Source organism: Homo sapiens, chromosome 2, assembly GCF_000001405.40.
Source record: "Homo sapiens chromosome 2, GRCh38.p14 Primary Assembly".
NCBI classification, from domain to species: Eukaryota; Metazoa; Chordata; class Mammalia; order Primates; family Hominidae; genus Homo; species Homo sapiens.
This window is the reverse complement of record NC_000002.12, coordinates 96914478-96939885: the sequence shown is the minus strand read 5'-3', so window position 1 is coordinate 96939885 and position 25408 is coordinate 96914478. Positions and strand designations below refer to the sequence as shown.

Below are 25408 nucleotides of genomic sequence, written 5' to 3'. Positions count from 1 at the left end.
TTTCCAGAGAGCTTAATTTGTGCTAGGCACCAAGCCCAGGGCTTGGCCTATCTCATTTAATCACCACAACAACCCTACAAGTAGATACCATTATTGTCCCATGTTATAGGTAATTGGGGGCTGGAAAGCCTGCCCAAGCTCCTACTGTGTGTGCAATGCGTGCCATCTCCTCTGTGGTCAGCCAGCCCTTGTCCAGCTCATTTTACCTCACCCTCTCTGACTCTCTGTGCTGCGACCTCTCTGCATTTCTTTTCTTCCATCTTCCTTCTGCCACAGGGCCTTTGCATGTGCCAGCCTCTTTACCTGGCATACTCTCCTCCTTCCCCTCAGCAGCTCTCTGACTTTGCCTTTGTTTTTTTGTTTGTTCATTTGTTTGTTTTGTTTTGTTTTGAGATGGAGTCTCACTCTGTCGCCCAGGCCAGAATGCAGTGGCGCGATCTCGGCTCACTACAAGCTCCGCCTCCCAGGTTCACGCCATTCTCCTGCCTCAGCCTCCCGAGTAGCTGGGATTACAGGCGCCCACCACCACACCCAGCTAAATTTTTGTATTTTTGGTAGACACAGTGTTTCACTGTGTTAGCCAGGATGGTCTTGATCTCCTGAGCTCTTGATCCGCCCGCCTCAGCCTCCCGAAGTGCTGGGATTACAGGGGTGAGCCACCGCGCCTGGCCTTGTTTTGTTTTGAGACAGAGTCTCACTCTGTTGCCCAGGCTGGAGCGCAGTGGCATGATCTTGGCTCACTGCAACCTCTGCCTCCCAGGTTCAAGTGATTCTCCTGCCTCAGCCTCCCGAGTAGCTACGATTACAGGCACGTGCCACCATGCCCGTCTAATTTTTGTATTTTTAGTAGAGACAGGGTTTCGCCATATTGGCCAGGCTGGTCTCCAACTCCTGACCTCAAGTGATCCACCCACCTCAGCCTCCCAGGTGCTGGGATTACAGGTGTGAGCCACCACACCCGGCCTGACTTTCTTCTTAACTCCATCTCTTCCTCTCTGTTATGGACTTCTCTGGCATCACCTGCTCAAGGAGGCCTGCCCTGCGGGCGTGTGCCGCCTCCTTGCTTCTACGCTTGGCTCCCTTTTCCACTCGTGGCTTTAGTCATAGTTGATGGTGGGTTCTTTGATTAATATTGTCTCTCCCAATGGGCCGTGAGCTCCAAAGTACGGGGACCATGTTTTTGTTTTGCTTTTAGTTTTAGTTATCTGTTGGGTTCCTGGCAGCTGTGTGAGCAGGGACACTGTAGGACCCAGGTGGTTTTTGTTGAATGAGTGGGTGGGTCTCCAGAAACACTGCGTCTCCCGGTGGACAGCAGCATCTTTTCCAGATAGCTGCTCTGATCCTGTGGCCAGTCAGCTGTGGAGCTGGGTGTACCAGAGAAGCTCTGATGTGCTCTCTGGTCCTCCAGCTTCAAGCCCTGAGGTCTGTTGGCCCTGTGGGGGCAGGCATGCATGCTTTACCCCAGCTCAGCAGGCATCTCCAGAGTCTCCCTGCCTGTGGCGCACTCAGCTCCTGTCCCCACCACTACATTCCACCACCTATACAAGGGGACCCTCAGGTACTGCGCCATTAGTAGCTCGTGAGGCCCAGGTGAGTTCGTTCCCTTAGGACAGTACCTGTCATCAGGAATTTTTAAAGCTCTCAGGTGATTTTTATGTGGAGCTGGGGCTGAGATGCTCCAGGTTTTGAGAACTTTGGCCAAGTGCACAGACCTCTTGCAGGAGAGGTGGCCAGGCAATAGTGGGGGTTTTGCCCACCACTTTAGCTCAGGACTCTCAACCCCCACTTTTAAAATGAGGTGCAAAATAAATTTAAGTGACTTAAACTCGGAGAGCACTTTTTTGTTGTTGTTGAGACAAGGTCTCACTCTGTCACCCAGGCTGGAGTGCAGTGGTGGCATCAGGGCTCACTGCAACCATGACCTTGACCTCTCGGGCTCAGGTGATCCTCCTGCCTCAGCGTCCTGAGTGGCTGGGACTACAGGTGCGTGCCACCACGCCCGGCTAATTTGTTTGTATTTTTTGTAGAGATAGGGTCTCACTGTGTTACCCAGGCTGGTCTCGAACACCTGGGCTCAAGCGATCTGCCTGCCTGGGCCTCCCAACTTGTGGGGATTATAGATGTGAGCCCCCGCGCCCAGCCCAACACTTCTTAATGTTTGACTTTTAGACTCTGATCAGAGGATGGCTGCAGCTCCCCCAGTACTGAGCCTCCGGCCCTGGCAATTTTCAGCTATGGCTGAGCGTTAAAAAGTATGACGTCTGTGTCCTACCCTCTGAGATCAGTCTGAGGCACAGCCTGGGCATTAGCATTTTAAAGCCTCCCCTCCTGATTCCAGTGGGCATCCAGAACTGAGAGCCCCTGGGCTACTGAGCCACGGGCAGTTGGCCTCAGGTGCGGCGAGAGGGGAGCCGGGGCTGGCATCTGAGGATTCCTGCCCACCCCCACCACCCTCATCATCCACCAGAGCACGGGAGTGTGGCCCTGAGTAATGCTCCGGAGCCAGGGCCACAGCTTTCCCTAGCTCAGTGGAGCCCAAACTTGGCTGTGTATTAGAATCACTTGGAAATTTTTTAAAATTCCAAAGCCTAGTCCACACCCCAGACTAATTAAACCACAATTGCTGGGGGGTAGGGCACAGGTGGCAGTAATTTTTGACACTCCCTAAGTGATTCCAACATGTGCAAACAGGCCAGGTGTGGTGGTTCACACCTGTAATCCCAGCACTTTGGGAGGACAGAGGCAGGAGGATTGCTTGAGCTCAGGAGTTCCATACCAGTCTGGGCAACATAGTGAAATCTCGTCTCTACTAAAACAACAACAACAACAACAAAACCTGGGCATTGTGGTGTGTGCCTGTAGTCCTGGCTACTCTGGAGGCTGAGGCAGGAGGATAGCTTGAGCCCAGGAGGTTGAGGCTGCAGTGAACCACTGTGTTAGGCTCTCAGCTGGGTCCTTGATTGAGATGAGAGCAACCACCATCATCCCTTCCAGTGCCGGGTCTGCTGTGCTGCCCAAGAAATGGTGTGTGGAGACCCCCCTCCTGTTGTTATTTTTTTAAAGAACGCTTTTGTTAGCCAGGTGTGGTGTCTCACGCCTGTAATCCCAGCATTTTGGGAGGATGAGGTGGGCGGATCACCTGAAGTCAGGAGTTCGAGACCAGCCTGGCCAACATGGCAAAACCCCGTCCCTACTAAAGATACAAAAAATTAGTCAGGTGTGGTGGCAGGCGCTGGTAATCCCAGTTACTTGGGAGGTTGGGGCAGGAGAATCGCTTGAACCCAGGAGGCAGAGGTTGCAGTGAGCCAAGATCATGCCATTGCACTCCAGCCTGGGGGACAGAACAAAGCTCTGTCTCAAAAAAAAAAAACAACCAAAAAAAAAAAACCCGGGCGTGGTGGCTCACGCCTGTAATCCAGCACTTTGGGAGGCCAAGGCGGGCAGATCACAAGGTCGGGAGATCGAGACCATCCTGGCTAATATGGTGAAACCCCGTCTCTACTAAAAATACAAAAACTTAGCCGGGCGTGGTGGCGGGCGCCTGTAGTTCCAGCTACTCGGGAGGCTGAGGCAGGAGAATGGTGTGAACCCGGGAGGTGGAGCTTACAGTGAGCAGAGATCATGCCACTGCACCCCAGCCTGGGCAACAGAGCGAGACTCCGTCTCAAAAATAAATAAATAATAAATAAATAAATAAAAAGAAGAATACTTTTGTTGTTGTATTTTTTTTTAATAGCCTTTATTTTTTAGAACAGTTTTGGGCTTACAGAAAACTTGATCAGAAAGTAGTTTCTGTATACTCATTCTCCACTCCCACCCACCCACCAGTTTCCTCTATTATTTACATCATATGTTAGTGTGTATATTTGTTACAATATCAATACATTATTAACTGAAGTCCATAGCCTAAATTAGGGTTGTGTTGTGCAGTTCTATGGATTTTAACAAATGGCCAGGCGTGGTGGCTCACGCCTGTAATCTCAGCACTTTGCGGAGCCGAGGCACGTGGATCACCTGAGGTCAGGAGTTCGAGACCAGCCTGGACAACATGGTGAAACCCCCTGTCTACTAAAAAAGTACAAAAATTATCCAGGCGTGGTGGTGCATGCCTGTAGTCCCAGCCACTTGAGAGGCTGAGGCAGGAGAATTGCTTGAACTTGGGAGGCAGAGGTTGCAGCGAGCCGAGATCGTGCCACTGCACTCCAGCCTGGGTGACAGAGCAAGACTCCGTCTCCAAACAAAAATTAAAACCTGAAAATCCAAACTGGGAGAGAATCTGATAGATTATTCATTTAGGGACATTACTGGGAAACTCTTAGGTTGAGTCTAAACCAGTCTCAACCTTTTGCTTTCCAAACTTGGAAGGGTAGTTTGCTACTGCTACCTTCCTGAGTCGTGCTGAGGGAGCCCTGTATCCTTAAAAACAACCAAGAATGCATGCTTAGGTGGCCAAGTGAGAAGGCGATTGCCTGGAGCTGAGCCGTAATAGCTGGGCCTCTACCAGCCGTGCTGGACCGTGATGTGACCTGGAGCATGAGAGGCACATGCTAAGAACAGCAGAGCTGAGAGACGGGCTCCTGAGATCCTGCAGGTACAGTTGGGTCTCTGCACCGGCTGTGACCTGCCTACTTGCAGACTTCTTTTTTGTCAGAGAATAAAATTCTTTTTGAAGGCCGGGTGGGTTTTTTTCTTTTGTTTTTGTTTTTGTTTGTTTGTTTGTTTTAATTTTGTTCCATTTTGTTATTTGTAGCCAAACCTAATTCTAGCAGATATGAGTGGTTCTGTGGTTTGGCACAATGTCGCTCTGTCACGCATACCGGGGGCCTCGAGTGCTTGCTGGTATTAGGTGACACCAGGCAGTGGTGTGAGTTACAGAAGGGCAGGGGAAAGGAGAGGTGCCCTGGGGATGGCATCACCTGCCCTGTACACATTTCTGTGAATAAGCAGGCCAGGGGCCTATAGAGATGGTGTTGGCGGGTGCAGAGTTGGTTATAGCCAGGTAGGGAGGTTGTCAGGGGCACCACAGGAAAGGCCTTGGGCTCAGGGTGAGTGGGGAGAAAAAGGAAAGAAAGGCACCCTCAGAGCTGGCTGCAGGGTAGAGAAGAAACAAAAAGAAGGTTCCAAAAGAATGTGGGTGCAGATCTGGAAAAGAGCCGGTGAGAGAGAGACCAGGAACAGCAAGCGGTCAGCATTTCGCAGTGTCTCCCTAGACACACGGTTTTCTCAGGAGAGGCAGTGGCACTCTTTGGGAGAACGCCGGTCTGCCTGCATCCTGTGCTTACACTGTCATCGGGGCAACAAAATGTGCATGTTTTTAAAATAGGAAATGGATATGTCATAGTGTGGGGATACAGGATTTTTTTGTTGTTGTTGTTGAGGACCTGGCTCCCTTTGGTAATGACACTCCCTGTTTACAAGTCCAGTGGCTTCCCTTCATCCCTGGTCCTTGCCCCAGTCTTCCAGGCCAGCTGATCTGCTTCTCTCTCGCCCCCATCTGCCTCTCCATCCTCACCTCCAGCCCCTGGCCTTGCACCCACTCCAGCACCCTGGGCTCCTTGCTCAACCTAGAAGACAGCCGTGCTCCCTGGCCTCAGGTCTCTGCCAGGCTCCCCAAGTCACTCAGGGTGCTCCAGCGTCCCCTGACCACCCTTCCTCCCAGCCACGGATGCCACCCAGCATCATTGGGCTTTATGTATCTTTCATGTGTGCGTTGTGTGTCCCCCACCCAACACCAACAACCCGAGAGCAGGGCTGCTTTGTGTTTTGTTCACCACTGGGTCCCTGGCATTTAGAACAGCACCTGGTGTTTGCTTGCCATTTGCTGAGTGAATGCACGGTTGAAATGACTAAAGCTAAAGCTAATTGACTAAAGCTGGCAATATTGAAACAAGTTTAAATTTAAGTAGAAAAGTGCTGCGGGAAGATAAGTGATTAGATTTGGGAGGATATGAAAGAATTGGATTTTAAGCCTCCCGTAAACATTGTGAGCCCCGCACTCCAGTTAAGATCGGACTCAGTGGGATGGGTAGCTTGCTTTCCTTTAGGAACCAGCCTCCTGGCCCTCTTGCCCCCTTGCCCATTAAGGCTGATGGGGACCTCCCCTCCTCCTGTGGTATCTCGGATTCAGGGAACTAGAACTCAGGCAGATGGTGCTGCTTGGCCCTCCCAGTGCAGCCACCCAGCAGAGCTCATTAGCTGTTTGATTTGGGGGTTGGGGAGGATAAGAATGGAGCCTGCAGACCCAGTCTCCTGCCGCCAAAGCCCTAAGGCCCAGGCTGAGGACTCAGGGCACGAGGGAGGCCCAGAAGGGGGGCAGGAGCCAGGTCTTGGAGCTGAGGCTGGCGCTTCCAGTGACCGAAGAGGTTCTTGGGATGTGCATGGATTTCCAATTCCATGTAAGAGGTGCCAGGAGAACGGTAGTGAATTAACAGCTTCTTCCACGACACAGATGGAAAAGCCACTTTTATTTTAGGCCTGATGATTTTCTTCCTCTATCTTCCCCCCATACCCCCAAGTGTCAGTTCCATCCCAGAAGGGTAACCTAAAGGGACGCCTGCAGACTCACAGCCTCTTACACAGAGCCCAGAGTCTTTGGGCTGTTCATGCTGGCAAATTTTTTTAATTTTTTTTTTTATTTTTTTATGAAACGGAGTCTCGCTTTGTTGCCCAGGCTGGAGTGCAGTGGCGCGATCTCGGCTAACTGCAACCTCCACCTCCTGGGTTTAAGCAGTTCTCCTGCCTCAGCCTCCCAAGTAGCTGGGATTACAGGCGTGCACTACCACGCCCGGCTAATTTTTGTATTTTTAGTAGAGACCGGGTTTCACCGTGTTAGCCAGGATGGTCTTGATCTCCTGACCTTGTGATCTGCCCGCCTGAGCCTCCCAAAGTGCTGGGATTGCAGGCGTGAGCCACCACGCCCGGCTTTTTTTTTTTTTTTTTTTTTTGTGAGACGGAGTCTCACTCTGTTGTACAGGCTGGGGTGCAGTGGCACGATTTCAACTCACTGCAACCTTTGCCTCCTGGGTTCAAGCAATTCTCCTGCCTCAGCCTCCTAAGTAGCTGGGATTACAGGCATCCACCACCATGCCCGGCTAATTTTTTTGTATTTTTAGTAGAGACAGGGTTTCACCACATTGACCAGGCTGGTCTCGAACTCCTGACCTCAGGTGATCCACCCACCTCGGCCTCCCAAAGTGCTGGGATTACAGGCGTGAGCCACCATGCCCGGCCCATGCTGGCATTTTAAAAGACACAGTGTTCCGGTGCTCCCCTGGGCATCACCTAAAATGACTGTTCTGTGTCTGGAGGAACTGAGTTGGGGAGCTGGAGCCTGGCAGCCTGACATCTGAGTTTCCTCTGTGTCAGCTCTCCAGAAAGCCCTCATCGGGGACAAACAGAGCTCAGGAAAAGCTGAGTGCATGGCCCACTTCTAGGCAGTGTTAATTATGGGCTCCGGGGTGGTATTTTCCTGTCCTCAAGTCACCAGCCTCCACGGCTGCTGATAGGGACTTAACTGTCCCGAGGCCTCCCAGGCCCCTCCTCTGACACTGCTCCTGACACCTTGGCCTGGGTCGTGCTGTGCTGTGGAGCAGTTGCTGGGTAGGAGAGGGGAGAAGGGATGATGCCCAGCTGGAGGCTGGCAGAGTGGGCACTGCTGCCTGTGAGTCAGGAGGTTTCACAGCAGAAGATGCCTCTGTGTGGGCTGGGGTGGGGATCTCAAGGGGAGGCGGGCACAACCTCCTTGGGGTCTGAGGCTGCTGGCGGGAGGTTCCAACCCACCTGGGCCTCCCGGGGCCTCGCCCTAGGTTGATTGTCTTCCCCTCCCTGGAAAGTTCATCTGCCCGCCCACAGGTGCATGCACATACGTGCACAGTCCCCTGAAGGCCCTGGTGAACAGTTCTCTCTTTCCAGTGGAGTCTCATTGTGTTTTGCAGACTTCATTCTTCCCAGCTCGTTTGTGAGGCGAGTAAGGGGTATCATTACCACTCTTTACTTGTTAAGTTGCCCAAGAGAGGAAAAAAAAAAAAAACAAACAAACAAGAAAGTTTTTCCTCCTCCAAGAGTCTAATTACTTGTTTGGTGAGTCTCAACCCATATACATTTCCAAAGAGGGATACTCGATGCCTGCCGAAGAAATGTCCTTGGGCAGGTTTCAGAGACCCTCTGCCCGCCATCCTGCCGTCTGCCAGCACTGCAGCTGGGCAGGACTGTTGCCAGCACTTTTCAGTGAGCTTAGGAAACTGATTCTTACGGTGGTCCTTGCGGAAGTCCCCACCCCGCAGCAGCCCTCCCTGCTTTGTGCCTGTTCTGCCTCCAGTCTTGACATGCCATGCTGCTTTGTGCTGCCCTGCCTCCGTCTTTTCTGTCTCTGTGTCAGAAAAGAGACATTCCCATTCCACCTTCCACATTTCATATTCCTTGTCTTGTCCGCTCACCACCTCCAAGTAACACCTGCTCCTCTGAGAAGGCTCTGTACCTTTTACCTGCTTTGATTTTTGCATAAAGACATTCACTTGTATTTCTTGATCTGGCTTCTGTTCCTCCTAGACCATGAGCTCCTTGAGGTCAAGGTCTCCTCTAGCTTGCCTTTTTATCTTCCACACCTAGCTAGTTCCTGAACACAGTGGAGTGTGCTGAAGTGGGTCCTCAGGGTGGGACACTCACCCTCTAGAATGGTGAAGTCTCACGTATGTGCTTCTGATGTATCCCTAACCCAGCTTCCAGGTTCTTGAATCTGATGCCCCACCCATTGTCAAATTTAACATCTGCCTTCTGGATACTGCCAGCCCATCTTATGACTTGTTTTCAGTCTCCCTGTTTTGGTCCATTTGAGATGCTATGACAAAGTACCTTAGTCTGGGTAATTTATAAACTGGGAAATTTATTGCTTACAGTTCTGGAGGCTGGGAAGTCCAAGATCAAGGTACCAGCAAATTTGGTGTCTGGTGAGAGCTGCTCTCTGCCCCAAAGAGGAGGTCTTCTGGCCAATTCCTTATGTGGCAGAAGGGTAAAAGGGGCAACCAGCTCCCTCAGGCCTTCTTCCTTTATCAGGGCACTGATCCCATTTGTGAGAGCTCCATTCTCATGACCTAATTTTCCTCCCAAAGGCCCCACCTCTTGATGCTATCACACTTGGGATTAAATTTCAACATATGAGCTTTGGAGGCTATACATAAACACTCAGAACATAGCACCCTCTTAGCTGTGTAGTACTTGGTCAGATTTGTTTTGGATTCTCTCCATTCATTCATTCTAATTCTTCCATGCACCGGCCACGTTTTTAGGCATGGGGCCTGTAGAGATGACCAACACAGATGTGGCCCCTGCCCTCGTGGGACTCCTGTTCTACCGGGGAGAGACAGAAGGAGAAGCAAGTCAACTGCTAAGTCGGACAATGCTGAGGAATGAGAGCAGAGTGGAAACATAGGCTCTGTCCCTGGATGAGGTGTGGGAGCTCACGGTGCAGAGAACACATGGGGCAGGAGGTCTTGGGCAGCCATCCTTGGAGAAGACGTCTGGACCCATTCTTTTTTATCTTTCTACTCTCCCACTTATAAAAATGTCCTTAAGTAGTCTGACAGAAAAAAAGGCCCTGAGTACCTGAGTATGTAAGGTTCTCCCTGTTTGCTGACGTGGTCAGATTTTTTTTTTTTTTTTTTTTTTTTTTTTTTTTTTGGAGAGACGGAGTCTCGCTCTGTCACCCAGGCTGCTGGAGTGCTGGAGTGCAGTGGCTCTATGTCAGCTCATTACAACCTCCACCTCCCAAGTTCAAGCAATTATCCTGGGACTACAGGCTCATGCCGCCATGCTCGGCTACTTTCTTTTGTATTTTAGTAGAGATGAGGTTTCACCGTGTTGCCCAGGCTAGTCTCGAACTTCTTGAGCTCAGGCAATCTGCCTGCCTCAGTCTCTGAAAAGTGCTAGGATTACAGGTGTGGGCCACTGTGCCCGGCCGATGTGGTCAGACTTTATCATGAATGTTTGGTTAAATTGGGCAAGGGAAACTGGTCCCCATAGCGCACACTTGCTTAGGAGACACGCCCCAGGCTGTGGGAGGCAGGCGAGGTGTGCTCCCAGCAGGGATGGTGGACTAGGGATGCCCAAATGTTGCAGCAGCAAGAGTGCTGCAGAGGCTGCAGTGGGCTGAGTGTCAGCCTCGGTGCTTTGCAGCAAGAGAGTCTAAGGACGTGAGCCTGGTGTCCAGTGAGCCTTGTAGCTCGGGGCCTCTGGCACAGGACTCTTCGTGTCACTTGGCTGTGGGCAGCCGAGCACCCTGACTACTGCCTGATGTGGATGGCCAGATGGTCAGGGAGTGGTTGACCCAAGTGCAGCCATACCTTGAAGACCAGGTAAGAGAATATTCAAGAAAACATTGAAATTCACAAAGCCCCAGAAGTACTTGGAAACCACCAGTTGCTTCATTTCCCCAGATAACACCTGTGGTGTCAGAGAAGGCAAAAACTGGTTATCTTGGGCCAGGGGTCACGGCCAGCCCCTTCAGTGGGAGTGGTGCACCCTGCCCTCCGTTCCCCATTCTAACTCTCTGCTCCCTTTTGGCCTGACAGATGAAGACAAGCACCTGTGGTGCCCCTCACTGCAAGAAGTCAGGGAGGCATTCCACAGCCTGGGTGCCCACAGTCCTGCCCTGTACCCTCTGGGGCCCTTTTGGCACGGTGGCAGGTGAGTACTTCTGCTTCCTCACTGCCTTTTTCTTTCATATTTTTTAAGAGACAGGGTCTCTCTCTGTCACTCAGAACTGGAATACAGGGGTATAATCATAGCTCACTGCGGCCTCCACCTCCCAGGCTCAAGTGATCCTCCCACCTCAGCCTCCTGAGTAGCTGGGACTACAGGTACGCACCACCACGCCTGGCGAATTTTTTAATTTTTTGTAGAGGTGGCGGGGGGGGGTCTCCCTACGTTGTCCAGGCTAGTCTTGAACTCTTAGGCTCAAGCGATCCTTCTGCTTTGGCCTCCCAAAGTGCTGAGATTACAGGTATGAGCCACCCCATGCCCAGCCACCTGTTCTCTTGTTTGTTTGGAAGTTGCTGGACTCAGGCTGTATCCCATGTGTAGGGAATTACAGAACAACCACACACCCCCGCCTGAGGATCTGAGTATCACACCAGGAAGGAATTTCCTTGCTCCCAGCCTCAGGGAGATGGGAAGCCCCCAGGATGGATGAGCCTGTTTTTGGCACTTCCTGACTCAGCCCCCGCTGCCCCCACTCTCTGGTGAAACCCAGACTTCACAGCCTGGTTAGTATCCTTGCAGACACGTCCCAGTCCCTTGAGTCTCTTCAAGCCGCTTGTTTGGCCCGTTACCTAATATCCACTCAGGAACAGCAGGGCATGCTTTTATGTTCCCACAACCCTCAGTTTTGTGTCATGAGTGCCCCCGTTGAGCCCCGGGCTGACTTGCTCGTGGACAGTCATGATCATTTGCCTATGCCTGGTCCCTGCCTGTGGGGAGGAGTGCCACGTGATGCATAAATAGCTCTGGTGGGCGGATGGCGACTTAGCTTAAGGTCGTAAAAGTGTTATATATCGTCATCTTGTTCTACAAATTTTAGCACATCCAAACTCTCTTGAGAACCCTTGAAGAAGGTGATTTGAGATGGAACAGAGTGTTTTGAAGCCTGGAGGGGCTGTTGTATAGGACTTCCCCCCATGCTTCCCGCTGACAATCCGTCAGCGCCAGGAGGTGCCAGGCCCCCCTTCCCTCGCCTCGGCGGGCAGATGTTCCTCTGCATGGAAAGTGGGAGCTCTCCTAAGAACCTGTTCCACGACTGTGTTTAGCAATTGTCTGCCAAGCCAAACCACACTCAGCTCTGCTATAAATACCCCACACATGTGCCAGCCTGCCGTGCTCCTGCCCCTTTCCCTCCCGGAGCTCGCAGCTCCATGTCTGGTGTAATGAGCCACTTGCCTCCTCCTGGCACAGAGCTGCAATCGCACACCGTCTTGGATGAGCGGGGGAGAGAATTACACTCAGAAAGACAAATGAACGTCTGAGGCAGGCAGGGGCCGTGGAGTCCAGAAGAGCCACTTGTGACTGCTGTGATGAGTGTCCCTGTGTCCTCCTGGGAGTGGGAGGCGGCACTGGAGACATAGCCACTGGGTCTCGCTCTGCTCTGCAAAGAGCTGCTTCCCCCACTGCCTCCCGGTTCTCCCAGGATTTGACTGCGGCTTGCCCTTCATGCTGCGTGACAAATCCGTTGTCTCCAGAGGCAGAGTGGGCAGGAGAGATGAGAACTGTGGCCCTTTAAACACATCATCTCAAGTACTTTGGGACACAAACCCCGGCACGCAGACTTCAGCTTTCCCAGGCGCAGTTAAGCCTTGTGTGGGAGGAAAGCAGGGCTGTGTTGTCCTAGATCGGGCCCAGGGAGCTGCCAGGGCCTCATGTCGTGTCCCAGACACACCGTTTTAACATCTACCTCTTTTGGGCCCCAGACCTTGGCCTGGCGTTGACACCATTTCCCATCAGAGGATTCAGAACTACCCTCGAGGACCTGGCTGACAGCCGCAGGGCTGATTTCCCTGCTCCTGGCTCTGGGAGCAGGCTGGGGACCACCGGTCAAGCCCCTCAGGGCTGGGGAGGCTTTCCTGCCTGGAGCCCCTCCCCATGTCTTCCTCGGGGTAGGAGGATGGCGAAAATGCCTGGGTAGGTTTCCTGGGCTGCTGCGTTGTGTCATGGATTGGAGGGTGACCCCTCCGGAGTATTCGGGAAGCATCAAGGAGGTTCCAGCATCTCCTCCCCAAGGGTATGGCATCCTTCATGGATGCATGGGCCACAAGAGAAACCCCACGGCAGGCTATCTTCTCCCTGTGTTCCTTCTCGTCCTGGCTCCTCACCAACTCAGAGGCTGTCTTGTGCGAGCTGGCTCCGCCCAGGCATCTTTTTTCTGCTGACTTCCAGGGATGCCTCCATCCAGGGGAACGGATACCTCTGGGGCTTCTCCTGGGCTACCCACAGTGCCTCACAATGGCCAGGGCTCAAAATGAGGGCCTCAGACATCTGTGCATGTCCCCACCGTAACTGGGCTGTCTCTTTAGTTGCTCTGAGAAAGACAAGTCTTCCCACATTTCTTCCTAATCTCGGATTTCCTTAAAAGCCATCACCATCTCCCATCTAGCGCTTCCAGATTTCCTTTCAGAAAGATGCAGTCCTTCCGCAGCTGGGCCATGCAGATCTCCTGGCATCCAACTTGTTGGAAACAGTGGCCCTCTGCTCAATGATGAGACTGGGGAGGGGAAACAGGAGGACATTTCAAGGAAAGGATGGAGCGTGGATATGAATGGGAAGCGGGTGGTGGGGGAGCTCATCAGCATCCTCAGAGGGGCTCATGCCCACGCTGCAACACAGAATGGGACTTGCCAGGTGCCCCCATCTCCCCCAGGAGCACAAAGGAGGTCTTTAGGTAGCTGTGCATGGTCCTCCAAGGCTGTTCCTGCTACCAAGCCCAGCTGAAGTTAGAGCCCTGCTCTGATGCGCAGGCCTGGCCGCTGAAGACCAAAAGTCTGGAGCTGTTTCCTGGTGCCAGAAGCCTTGGCCACTTGGTTTTCTTTTCTTTTTTTTTTGAGACAGAGTTTCACTCTTGTTGCCCAGGCTGGAGTGCAGTGATGCCATCTCGGCTCACTGCAACCTCCGCCTCCGGGTTAAAGCGATTCTCCTGCCTCAGCCTCCTGAGTACCTGGGATTACAGGTGCGTACTACAATGCTTGCTAATTTTTGTATTTTTAGTAGAGATGGGGTTTCACCATGTTGGCCAGGCTGGTCTTGAACTTCTGACCTCAGGTGATCCACTCACCTCAGCCTCCCAAAGTGCTGGAATTACAGGCATGAGCCACCATGCCCCGCCAGCCACTTGGTTTTCAAAGGAGCAGCCTGGTGCAGAGACCAAAGGGGTAAATACATGACAATTAACACATTGACAGGGCGTCCTATCAAGTGAGGGGGCAATTGATTAAAGAGGCAGCTCTTGGTTAAGGTGGTAGTGGTGCTCATACACTGTACCTGCCATCTTCCCTCTGAGAATGTCAGAATGCCATGCAGATGGTAACTTTATTATTTTTTCAACTTTTGGGGGAAGAAGATGCGGAGACCTGGGTAGAGGCCAGTGACATGCCCCTTGTAAGGTTAATGAGTATTGAACGGTGTCTCCGAGACAGAAACCCAGTTCCTAGGTGCTGGCCACAGACCCTGGAGCCAGGCGTGGGACCAGTGAAGCTGCTTTGCTCATAAGAGTCCAATGGTGGGACCATCAGCTCACTCTAACCTGCTAAGCCCAGGAGGGGAGCAGGGATAATAGATAGGCCGTTGAATTCCCGGGCTGTGGCCCCTTGCTGGCAGCAGTGGTGGAGTTTCGGGGATCAGCTGATGCTGCAGCTCAGAACAGCAGCCACAGATGCCAGCAGTTTAGTCAAGTGATTCCTCTGAAAAGCGAGGATTAGAGGACCCCCATTATGTTGCCCATTAGTCCATGGGCTCACAAAGTTCTGGAACTCTGACCAGCCAGGCATTCACTTGGGAAGGCTGACATTTCTTTCCAAGGAGGACAGGGCTCTCCCCACAGCCACACTCCTCTCTGCAGCTCAAAAAACACATGTAACCACCTCACACCTTCAATGTTCCTTCTCCCCTTGGCAGCGTCTCTCTTCTGCAGATGTTTGTAGTCGACTCTGAGTGCCCCGTGCTGAGAAACCTGAAAGCACACCCACCTATGGCTGCGCGTGTTGCACGCTCAAGGCTGGTACGAACCAGAGCTTCCCCTCACGTACTGGCGCAGGCCCAGCCTGCGCCCAGATGTGCAAATGCCAGCCTTACCCATTCAGTTAGGGCCCTAATAAATGCTGAAATCTGGAAGAAGGACTGAGCCCAGCCACAGTTTCCACTCCCCCACCAAGTTTGGTTTGTCGGCACCAACTTCCTGGTACCTCGGAGACAGATCTCTCCTCCTTCCCCTCTGAGCCCAGCGCCAGTGCCAAGCAGAGAAGAGCAGAGACTTCACAGGAGCTGTAGGACAGTGCTCTTCCTCCCCTGTGCCAGGGGGCTGCCTGGAGCCTGCTGTCATCAGCAGTGTGGTTGTCATCAATATCTTCACTTACCACTGTTAGCAGGAACCTTAAGCCGTTTCTTAAGAGTGGAGAAGTGGGTGAGACAGCAGAGGGGACCCTCATCATAAGCTCACTTAACATACTTGAAATCAACAATGTACATTCGGCCATACGATGAAGGTGATCCCGCCCAGGCTCTCGTCCTGTGAGCGCGTGCCTGGGAGGGAGGCTTGTGGAAAGGGTGATGAGACTGCCATCCACAAAGCCCCACCGAGGTCCCCCTCACCGTAAGCATCTCACCACCCTGCGTGTGGCTTGATCTTTAAAGGGGGGGATTTTTCTTTCCCCAGCCCTGGTCTCTAACATCATCTGGTGCTCAGCCAGATTGGGTCCGTCACTCGGGGAAACTGGCCATGCAGGTCTTATCAGCAGACAGCACATCAGCTCAGGGTGACACCTTTGGAGGGGGTTTTCAGGGATGTTTTGTTCTGATTTCCCCCATACTTGCTGGCTTGTGAGCCAGCCCGTGTCAGCTACCACGTGGTGCACTTTGCAGTGTATGCAGGCTCACCCTTGTCGAACGGACCCAGGGAGAACTCACGGACTTTGGGGGGATTGGAAGTGTGATTTTCTGGTTTCCAAGTCCTGGAAAACTAAAGCTCGAGGCCTCACCTGAACGGTAGCATGTGGGAGCCAGTCCCCAAGGAGCCCCCCTCCATGTGTCCCCCATTCTTAGAGTTCACATAGTTCTGTAGCCTCCTCCTACACCAAGTCAGGTCGGCCCTGTGTGACCAGTAGAAGAGATGGGATGTCACTTTCGAGGTTAGGTTGTGGAAGGTTGTGGCTCTGTCTTGGGCATATTCTCTCTCCCTCTCTCTTTCACCACTGGCTTTGGAGAACCAGCGGCCATGTGGAGAAACTCTGTGGAGAGGCCCTGGGGCCTGTGGATCAGTGACCAGGTGAGTGAGCCGGGAGGCAGGCCCTCCAGCCTGTAGGCTCAGGTGACCGCAGCCCCACCCAACATCTTGAGGGCAACATCCGAGAGACCCCCGAGCCAGGACCACCCAACAGAGCTGCCCTGGATTCTTGGCCCTCAGAAACTCATGAGATCATCTGTGTGGAAGAATTTGCTGTGTCCAGCGGATGAGCAGCCTCAGGGCAGCAGTGTCCCACTTTGCGCCTCACTCCTGCCCCTGTGCCCCCTCCTGGGTTTCCCATCGTCACTGTTGTTGTCTTACCACAGGGTGCTTCCAGGCGAGGCTGGCCTGAATGAGAATGAGGAGCAGGACGCTCCCCAAGAGATTGCCTTGGACATCAGCCTGGGCCACATCTACAAGGTGAGTCAAGCCGCCTGCCTCATGCAGGGCACTCTCGGCTTACAGTTCAGACCCATTCAGCAGCTAAATTCCAGGAGCATCACGGAGAATCTCCGGCGAGCTCAGCACCATGGCAGGCACTGTGCTGGCTGTGGGCCGGATGCTACAGAAACTGTGTTATCGGACACGGGTCCTGATCTAGGCCCCAAGAGAGAGTTCTTGTACAAGAAAGAATTGGGGCCAGGCATGGTGGCTCATGCCTGTAATCCCAGCGCTTTGGGAGGCTGAGGCAGGTGGATCATTTGAGGTCAGGAGTTCCAGACCAGCCTGACCAACATGGTGAAACCCCATCTGTACTAAAAATACAAAAAAAAATCAGCCGGGCATGGTGGCGGACACCTGTAGTCCCATCTGCTCAGGAGGCTGAGACAGGAGAATTGCCTGACCCTGAGAGGCAGAGGTTGTAGTGAGCCGAGATGGCACCACTGCACTCCAGCCTGGGCGACAGAGCGAGACTCCATCTCAAAAAAACAAAAAGGCTGGATGCAGTGGCTCATGCCTGTAATGCCAGCACTTTGGGAGGCTGAGGCGGGTGGATCACCTGAGGTCAGGAGTTCGAGACCAGCCTGGCTAACATGGCAAAACCCCGTCTCTACACAAACTACAAAAATTAGCCAGGCGTGGAGGCTGAGGCAGGAGAATTGCTTGAAACTGGGAAGTGGAGGTTGCAGTGAGCTGAGATTGCACCATTGCACTCCAGCCTGGGCAACAAGAGAGAAACTCCATCTCAAAAATAAAAAGAATTGGAAGCAAATCCATAGAGTAAAATGAAAGCAAGTTTATTAAGAAAGTAAACGAATAGGCCAGGTATGGTGGCTCATGCCTGTAATCTTAGCACTTTGGGAGGCCAACGTGGGTGAATCACCTGCAGTTAGGAGTTCAAGATCAGCCTGGCCAACATGGTGAAACCCCGTCTCTACTAAACATACAATAATTAGTCGGGCGCGGTGGCGCGTGCCTGTAATCCCAGCTACTTGGGAAGCTGAGGCAGGAGAATTGCTGGAACCCGGGAGGCGGAGGTCGCAGTGAGCCAAGATGGCGCCACTGCACTCCAGCCTGGGTGACAGAGCAAGACTCTGTCTCAAAAAAAAGTAAAAGAATAAAGAATGGCTACTTCATAGGCAGAGCAGCCCCAAGGGCTGCTGGTGTAGTATTTTTATGGTTATTTCTTGATTATGTGCTAAGTAAGAGGTGGATTATGAGTTTTCTGGGAAAGGGGTGGGCAATTCCCAGAACTGAGGGTTCTTACCCTTTTTAGACCATATAGGGTAACTTCCTGACATTGCCACGGCATGTGTAAACTGTTATGGTACTGGTGGGAGTGTCTTTTAGCATGCTAATTCACTGTTATTAGCATATAATAAGCAGTGAGGCCGACCAGAGATCACTCTGGTCATCATCTTGGTTTTGGTGGTATCTGGCCAGCCTCTTTACTGCAACCTGTTTTATCAGCGGGGTCTTTGTGAGCTGTATCGTGCCAACCTCCTATCTCATCCTGTAAGAATACCTAACCTCCTGGGAATGCAGCCCAGTAGGTCTCAGCCTTGTTTTACCCAGCCCCTATTCAAGATGGAGTTGCTCTGGTTCAAACGCCTCTGACAAGCACACTCTCCACACCTGTGCCTGCCACCCAGGACCCTGCAGGGGCCTCACTGTTTCCTGAGCTCCTACCCAACATGGCCGCGGGGCTCACAGTACCATCCCTTCTGCCTAAGTGTCTCCCAGGGAACTGGTCCTCGAAGTACTCTCCCGTTCCCCCATGCCCTGGCCACCCCTGCCCTCTTTTCTCTCTCCAGTTTCTGGCGCTGTGTGCCCAGGCCCAGCCGGGGGCCTACACTGATGAGAACCTCATGGGACTGATTGAGCTGCTGTGCCGCACCAGCCTGGACGTGGGGCTCCGCCTGCTGCCCAAAGTTGACCTCCAGCAGCTTCTCCTCTTGCTCCTGGAGAACATCCGGGAGTGGCCAGGGAAGGTACTAGACGCCCAGAGCCTGGTCCTCATACAGCTTCATCACTAGGGACCAAGGTGGCCCCTAGAGTGCCCTGGGTGGGGATGGCACTGCCTGGAGGTCATCGGAATGTCCCTGATCTCCGTGACTGCCCACTTACTCCCCTGTGCGGGCTGGGTGGCGAGAGCAAGGGGAAGGCGGTGTCCTCCTGTAGCCCATGGGGTGCCGTTCTCCTGCAGCTCCAGGAACTGTGCTGCACCCTGAGCTGGGTGTCTGACCACCACCACAACCTGCTGGCCCTCGTGCAGTTCTTCCCAGACATGACCTCCCGGAGCAGGTGCGTGCTGCTCCCCCGCTGCCTCCTCCCTCTCACACGCATCTCTTCGGGGTCTTGTAGGGATCCAGAGTCCTCCCCATCAGCCCCAACAAACCTCCCCTGCCCAATTTCTAATCCCCAGGAGGGAGAACTAAAAATATAACTCACTAATGAGTTCTTTACAAATGAAAAAAAGCTTAATTTTCTTAACATGGTCTTATTAGCAAAACAATTGCCTTGTGCAATTAGCTCCTGCCTGCAGGGCCCCCACTCTCCTTTCTTTGGGGCTCCCTCCCCAGTCTTCAGCTCCTCCTCGTCATTCAGACCTCAGCTGAATTCTGTCCCCTGATCACCCGACTCCCACTCGCACACTCTCGATTCATCCTTCTGTTTTCTTTTCTGCCTAGCATTTACCCATGCCAGAAATTATGTTACTCTTTGTTTCCTTGTTTATGGCTGTGGCTTTCCTCGAAGTTACCTCTACCAGAACAGCTACCTTGTCAGGGTCACTGCCATATTGTCCCAGATCTAGAACAGTGCCTAGCGTGCTGTTCGGCGCTCTGTAAATTTTTTTTTTCTTCTTCTTGAGACAGAGTCTTGCTCTGTCACCCAGGCTGGAGTGCAGTGGTGCGATCTCGGCTCGCTGCAAGCTCCACCTTCTGGGTTCACGCCATACTCCTGCCTCAGCCTCCCGAGTAGCTGGGACTACAGGCGCCCGCCACCACACTTAGCTAATTTTTATATTTTTAGTGGAGACAGGGTTTCACCGTGTTAGCCAGGATGGTCTCAATCTCCTGACCTCGTGATGTGCCTGCCTCGGTCTCCCAAAGTGCTGAGATTACAGGCATGAGCCACCACGCCTGGCCTGTAAATTCTTTTCGAATGAATGAAGTGGGTAAACAAACTCAGCCCAGGAGGAGATAAGGCCCATTGGCTGAATCTGGCCCGGCTTCTCTCTCCACTTTCCTTCTCCCACTTTTGGCTACGGTCTTACAGGATTGCCTGCCCTTTCCGGAGCAGACCACTCCCATCCACTCGCCTTGCTCTTCTCTCTCCCTCTTCCCTTCTCTTTCTGGGCCTGTCCCTTTGCAGCTCCTCCTGCCTAGAATGACTCCTTTCCTACCCCTCAACTTTGGCAGACACCTCTGTGTTACCCTCCACTGGGACCCCTTCCCTTCCCCTGCACTGTTCCAAGGGTGGTCTCTGGGAGCCGGCTTGGAGTTTGAATCGCCTCACACCCCAGGGCCCAGCCTGGTAGAGGCTCTGCTTGTTGACTAAGTTACCTTCAGTTGTCCTGGGCTCCGCTTCAGTGCTGAGCAGGCAGTCCCATCTCTTTCTGTCTTTCCTGGGAATCTGGCTGGCAGAGAGGCAGCCTGTGCACAGTTGGGAGAGGGCAGGTTTCATCCTCTCTCTGAAAGAATGGGACTTCTGGAAGCTCTGTCAGAGGACTCCAGGGGCCTCAGTGAGGGAGGCTGCCTGCAGCCCAGCAGCCTGGTATTTCTTCATGGGATGGAGAGGCCGACCCTGCCTCCTGATTCCCTGTTCTCCCCAGACCGCCCATCCACTCTGCTTTGCCAGCTGGAAATTACAGTCCTAGAGGTTTCTGCCATCCCCACCTGTTACCCCTTTCGTCCCTAAATCCTGTCCTTTCTGCCTTCTGTATCCTAAATCCAACTCCGTGACAGCCAGGACCATGTCTGGCTCACGTAAATCAGTCACCTCCTTTCATCTCACCGGCTCACCTGGAGGGTGGCAGAGGCATTTCTTCCTCTTCTCCAAAGTCTGCCTGCTCTGTAGATGCCTGGGGGTTCCTGTGATGATCACGTCTCTGCCTTACCATGCTCCCCATTGCCTGCAGGGCCAGGTGCAAATTCTTAGGCTGGTCCCTAGGCCCCCTCATCCACCTCGTCCAGCCAGTTTCTCATTTGCTCCATCCAGGGCATGGTGTTTGTGGTTGTTTTTCTCACACATACACACAATAAACCTCACTCTTTTCACAGCTGCATAGTATTTCCCTAGTGTGTGTGCCACTGTAGTCTCCTAATGTAGCAGGGCGACCACAGTCCAGAACCCCTCAGACACCAAGTTGTGGAAGGAAAGGGCTTTATTCAGCTGGGAGCATTGACGGGCTCACGTCTCCAAAAACCGAGCTGCTTGAGTCAGCAATTCCTGTCGCTTTTAAGGGCTTACAACTCTAAGAGAGCCCGCGTGAGAGGGTCGTGATCGATTGAGCAAGCCGTGGGTACGTGACTGGGGGCTGCATGCACTGGTAATCAGAATGGAACAGAACAGGACAGGGTTTTTCACAGTGCTGTCCCGTGTAATGTCTGGAATCTATAGATAACATAAACCGGTTAAGTCAGGGGTCAGTCTGTAACTACCAGGCCTGGAACGCAGCACTGGGCTGTCTGACTACTGATTTCATTTCTTTCTTTTCTTTAACTCCTACTTTTTCTTTGAGGCAGAAATTGGGCATAAGATAACATGAGGGGTGGTGTCCTCCCTTACTAATACTGGACATTCTTCCAGTGACTGTTTAGTGTCTGTGCAGATATTTCTATGAGATAAATTCCTTGATGTGAAATTGCAACCCTAAAGTATGTAAAGCTGGACCTATTAGTAACACCACCAAATAGGTATGAAAGTGCATATTTTTCTGCATTCTCATTAATACTACATATTCCCAGTTTTGTTTTTGAGTTTTAGTCAATCTGGTGAGTGGAAAACATCATCCTGTGGTTCTAATTTTCATTTCCCTGATTGCCAGTGAAACTGAGTATCTTTTCATGTATTTATTGGCCTTTTGTGTTTCTCTTACTGTAAATTACCTTTTGGTATTTCTTACCCACTTTCCTATCAGTTAATTTATCTTCTTATCAACTCTGTTGATCTTCATGTTGCTTATTATGTTACAGTATGTTTTCTCCAAAGGTTATATAGATTGTCCTTTTTAAATCTTTATGTATGGTACCTTTCAGTGAACTGGAATTTTTTTTCTTTTTTTTTTTACTTTTTCAGTCCTTTTTTTTTTTATTTTAGAATAGATTTAGATTTACAGGACAGTTTTATGGATAATGCAGAGAATTGATTGGGATTTTTGTGTAATGTAATCTTTCCATGTGGAAGACGAAGGGTTTCCCCACCAAGACCATAAAGATAGTGTGCTTTCTTCTCTTTCAGGACTGGCTTTACTTTGTGTCCATCAGCTCTTAATCCCAACTCAAATCTGTTTGTCCTTGGTATGAGAGAAGGATCTAACTTGATTTTTTCCATCCCCAAACAGCCAGTGGGGACCCAACGTCAATTTTTCTGCCTTTTGTTTTGTTTTTTGAGAGAGGGTCTCACTCTGTCACCCAGGCTGGAGTGCAGTGGTACCATCATGGCTCACTGCAGCCTCGACCTCTTGGGATCAAGTAATCCTCCTGCCTCAACCTCCTTAGTAGCTAGGACTACAGACAGATGCCAACACACCCATCTAATTTTTAAATTTTTAGTAGAGACAAGGTCTCCCTATGTTGTGCAGGCCGATCTCAAATCCCTGGGCTGAAGTGATCTTCCCACTTCAGCCTCCCAAACTGCTGGGATCACGGGTGTGAGCCACCATGCCTCAGCTTTTTGGTCTTAATAATTCATCCTTTCAAGACAGATTTGAAGCTACCTTCTCCATATCCTAAGTTTATGACTTCACTCCTTCATCTGCTAGCCATGTTAAACTGTGATTTCATGAATCAGTGTCTTTTGTGGAATCTGTGGGTAGCTCCAGGGCCCATGGCAATTGCCCTTTAAATGCCAGGAAATGAATGAAACAGAGCATCTTGCGCCTGCCTTTCAGGCAGCCACGTCAGCAGGGTGATGCTTTGTGCCAAGAGCTTTACTAGGAAGGAGGGTGCCTTATCGGGATCAGTGTTATTGATTTTATTTTTCTAAATAGATAAAAGCATTCAAATAAAACAAAATTCGTAAGGTACCAAGGAGTACCTTTTTGAAAGTACTCCTTTCAAATTTGATGTTGAAAATGCGCTTCTTCCCCTGAGCCAGAGCCACCTGGCTGGCCGCCAGCCTCTGTCTGCGTGTGCACGTACCCGCCGTTTCCGCACCTTCTTTGCTCTTCAGGGTGTGTTCTGGCCGTCATCCCTGATTGGGTTGTAAAGGGCTCCTAATTCTTTTTTCCTGCCGCGTTGTACTCACTGTGGGTCTTCAGTGAGCTGCTGCTCCACTGTGCTTCCCGCGGCGGCCACAGAGCTTACTGGCTGCCTTCACTGGTGGCTGCCCCACTGGGCTCTGTGCCCAGACTGACCCCAGGAAGAAGGGCAGATTGGTGTACGAAGGGCTGTCACACTCTTTGTCTGCTCGACTGACTGGTTAAGCACAAAGCGAGAACTCCTGCTGACACTCATGCAGTACACCCGCAGCCCCTGCCTCAGCGTTCAAGACTTCATGGGATGCACTGCAAATGTAAGGAAGAGCTGGGCCTAACCATGAAAAATGAAAGTGAATACTAAGGCAGACCACCTGAAACAGAGCCAAGGGGAAGAGGAGGTTCTTGGAGGAACATCCACCTTGGGAGGTGGCGCCATTGGGGCAGCTCAGGCAGCTTTGGGAAGAGCAGCATGCCATCCCCACTTCTGTTCAGGGCTCCTGCAACTGCTTGCACTCTACTGAAAGCTGATGTCCCAGGCTCTGGGGATCCTCTTCCTTCACTGCCTGCGGCTATTCATTAAACATCCTGTGTGCGCTGCTTCAAAGCAGAAGGTCAGATGAAGCCAGCTCCCGCAGGCTGCCTGGTCAGATGGAGGAATGGACAAAGCCTGCGTAAAACGGCTCACGAAACCAGCCCTGACAATGACGTAGAGTTCCTTGCCTGGCAGACCAGAATCAATCCGAAAGGACAGTGCTGCCCAGTGTTGGCAGGATGTGAGGAAACAGGCATATGCTTCCCTGCTCATGAGATGCGGTCAGTAGTCCCTCTGGAGGCCAGTTTGGCAAAATCAAGCAAATGACTTTAAAATGTGCACACCCTTCAAAAAGCTAGATCGTTTTCTGGGGAACTAGATGGCAAAGATTCATTGACAAGGATGTTTGGCATAGCAATGTCATGATAGTGAAGAACTGGAAATTGCCTCAGTGCCCCACCATCGATTCAGTTCTGCCCGTGCTACGGAGTATTATATGGTACCTAAAAATGATGTCACAGGAAAATGGGAAAGTTAATGAAATACGCTGAGTGGAAAAAAGGCTTTGAAGCCATATGTAAAGTGTGATGCCAATTCTGTTTAGGGGAAAAGAAAGGCCATCTTTGGGTGTGAGGTTAATAGGAGTGTTTTTGGTTGCCTAGGGCTTATTTCCCCCTTTCTTTTTTTCTTTTTCTTTTTTTTTTTTTCCCACTCTGTCGCCCAGGCTGGAGTGCAATGGCACAGTCTCAGCTCACTGCAACCTCCGCCTCCCGTGTTTAAGCGATTCTCCTGCCTCAGCCTCCCAAGTGGCTGGGACTACAGGTGCGTGCCACCACACCCAGCTAATTTTTGTATTTTTAGTAGAGACGAGGTTTCTCCATGTTGGGCAGGCTGGTCTTGAACTCCTGACCTTGTGATCTGCCCGCCTCGCCCTCCCAAAGTGCTGGGATTATAGGCGTGAGCCACCGTGCCCATCCTCTTATTTCCCCTTTCTAAAGACCCTGTCGGCCTCCAAGCTCCTGCTCTTACCCCCACAGCCAGTTCTCACCAATTAGCCAGAATCACTTCTATTTAATAAGTTTTTAAAGTTTTGTTGGCTGGGTGCGGTGGCTCACACCTGTAATCCCAGCACTTTGGGAGGCCGAGGTGGGTGGATAACTTGAGGTCAGGAGTTCAAGACCAGCCTGGCCAACATGGTGAAACCCCGTCTCTACTAAAAATAGAAAAAAAAAAAAATTAGCTGGGCATGGTGGCATGCACCTGTAATCCCAGCTATTCAGGAGGCTGAGACAGGAGAATCATTTGAACCCGGGAGGCAGAGGTTGCAGTGAGCCGAGATTGTGCCATTGCACTCCAACCTAGGAGGCAGAGTGAGACTTCGTCTCAAAAAAAAAAAAAAATTTGGTTATAGATAATTTCAAGACATATACAAACGTTGAGAGGCTAGTAAAATGGACTCCATGTACCCATTTTCCATCTCAGCAAACACAGCCGTGGAGACTCCTCCTTCCCTCACCCATTGCCCCCCACCCCTGCCCCACATCATTGTGAATCAGAGCAAATGATTAGACTTATTTTATTCAGTACGTGTCTCTAAAAAGATAAGGTCTTGGTGGTTTGTTTGTTGTTGACAGAATCTCTTTCGCCGAGGCAGGAGTGCAGTGGTGCCATCCAGGCTCACTGCAGCTTCGACCTCCTGGGCTTAAGTGATCCTCCTGCCTCAGCCTCCCGAGTAGCTGGGACTACAGGCATGCACCATCCCACCTAGCTAACTTCTTTAAGTTTTTGTAGAGACAGGATCTCCCTGTGTTCCCCAGCCTGGTCTTAGACCCCTGGGCTCAAGTGATCCTCCCACCTTGGCTTCCCAAAGTGCTGAGATCACAGGCATGAGCCACAGTGCCCAGCCCTTGGTGGGTATTTTAAAACATAATTACAACATTATGATGACACCTAAAACACTGAACCATAAAAGAACTGTCATAAGCAATTGAGTCACTTCCCTGCTCCAGAATCTTCCAAGACTTTGCATCATCTT

At 51.7% G+C, this 25408-nt stretch overlaps 1 protein-coding gene and 1 long non-coding RNA gene across 2 annotated transcripts in view, besides 1 other annotated feature; one reads left to right on the top strand and one right to left on the bottom strand.

Annotated features, from left to right (window-relative positions):
• FAM178B (family with sequence similarity 178 member B) overlaps positions 1-25408 on the top strand; it is a 110696-nt gene that overhangs the window by 46695 nt on the left and 38593 nt on the right. Inside the window, exons 9-12 of the mRNA NM_001122646.3 lie at positions 10566-10680; positions 16303-16396; positions 18232-18408; positions 18624-18721. Coding sequence (NP_001116118.2) covers positions 10566-10680; positions 16303-16396; positions 18232-18408; positions 18624-18721 — 484 coding nt within the window. The remainder of the gene's footprint in view (positions 1-10565; positions 10681-16302; positions 16397-18231; positions 18409-18623; positions 18722-25408) is intronic.
• Positions 12181-12894: an enhancer, noted in NCBI's record as "H3K27ac-H3K4me1 hESC enhancer chr2:97592729-97593442 (GRCh37/hg19 assembly coordinates)". NCBI's record gives its function as "activates a minimal SCP1, AML or CMV promoter by ChIP-STARR-seq in primed H9 embryonic stem cells {active_cell/tissue: H9 hESC(primed)}" and the evidence as "EXISTENCE:reporter gene assay evidence [ECO:0000049][PMID:30033119]".
• LOC101927053 (uncharacterized) lies at positions 14049-20780 on the bottom strand. Its single transcript, NR_110209.1, has 3 exons — positions 20443-20780; positions 19984-20111; positions 14049-15842 (listed from the first exon to the last, which is right to left on the bottom strand). It is a non-coding gene; the product is annotated as an uncharacterized LOC101927053 (long non-coding RNA).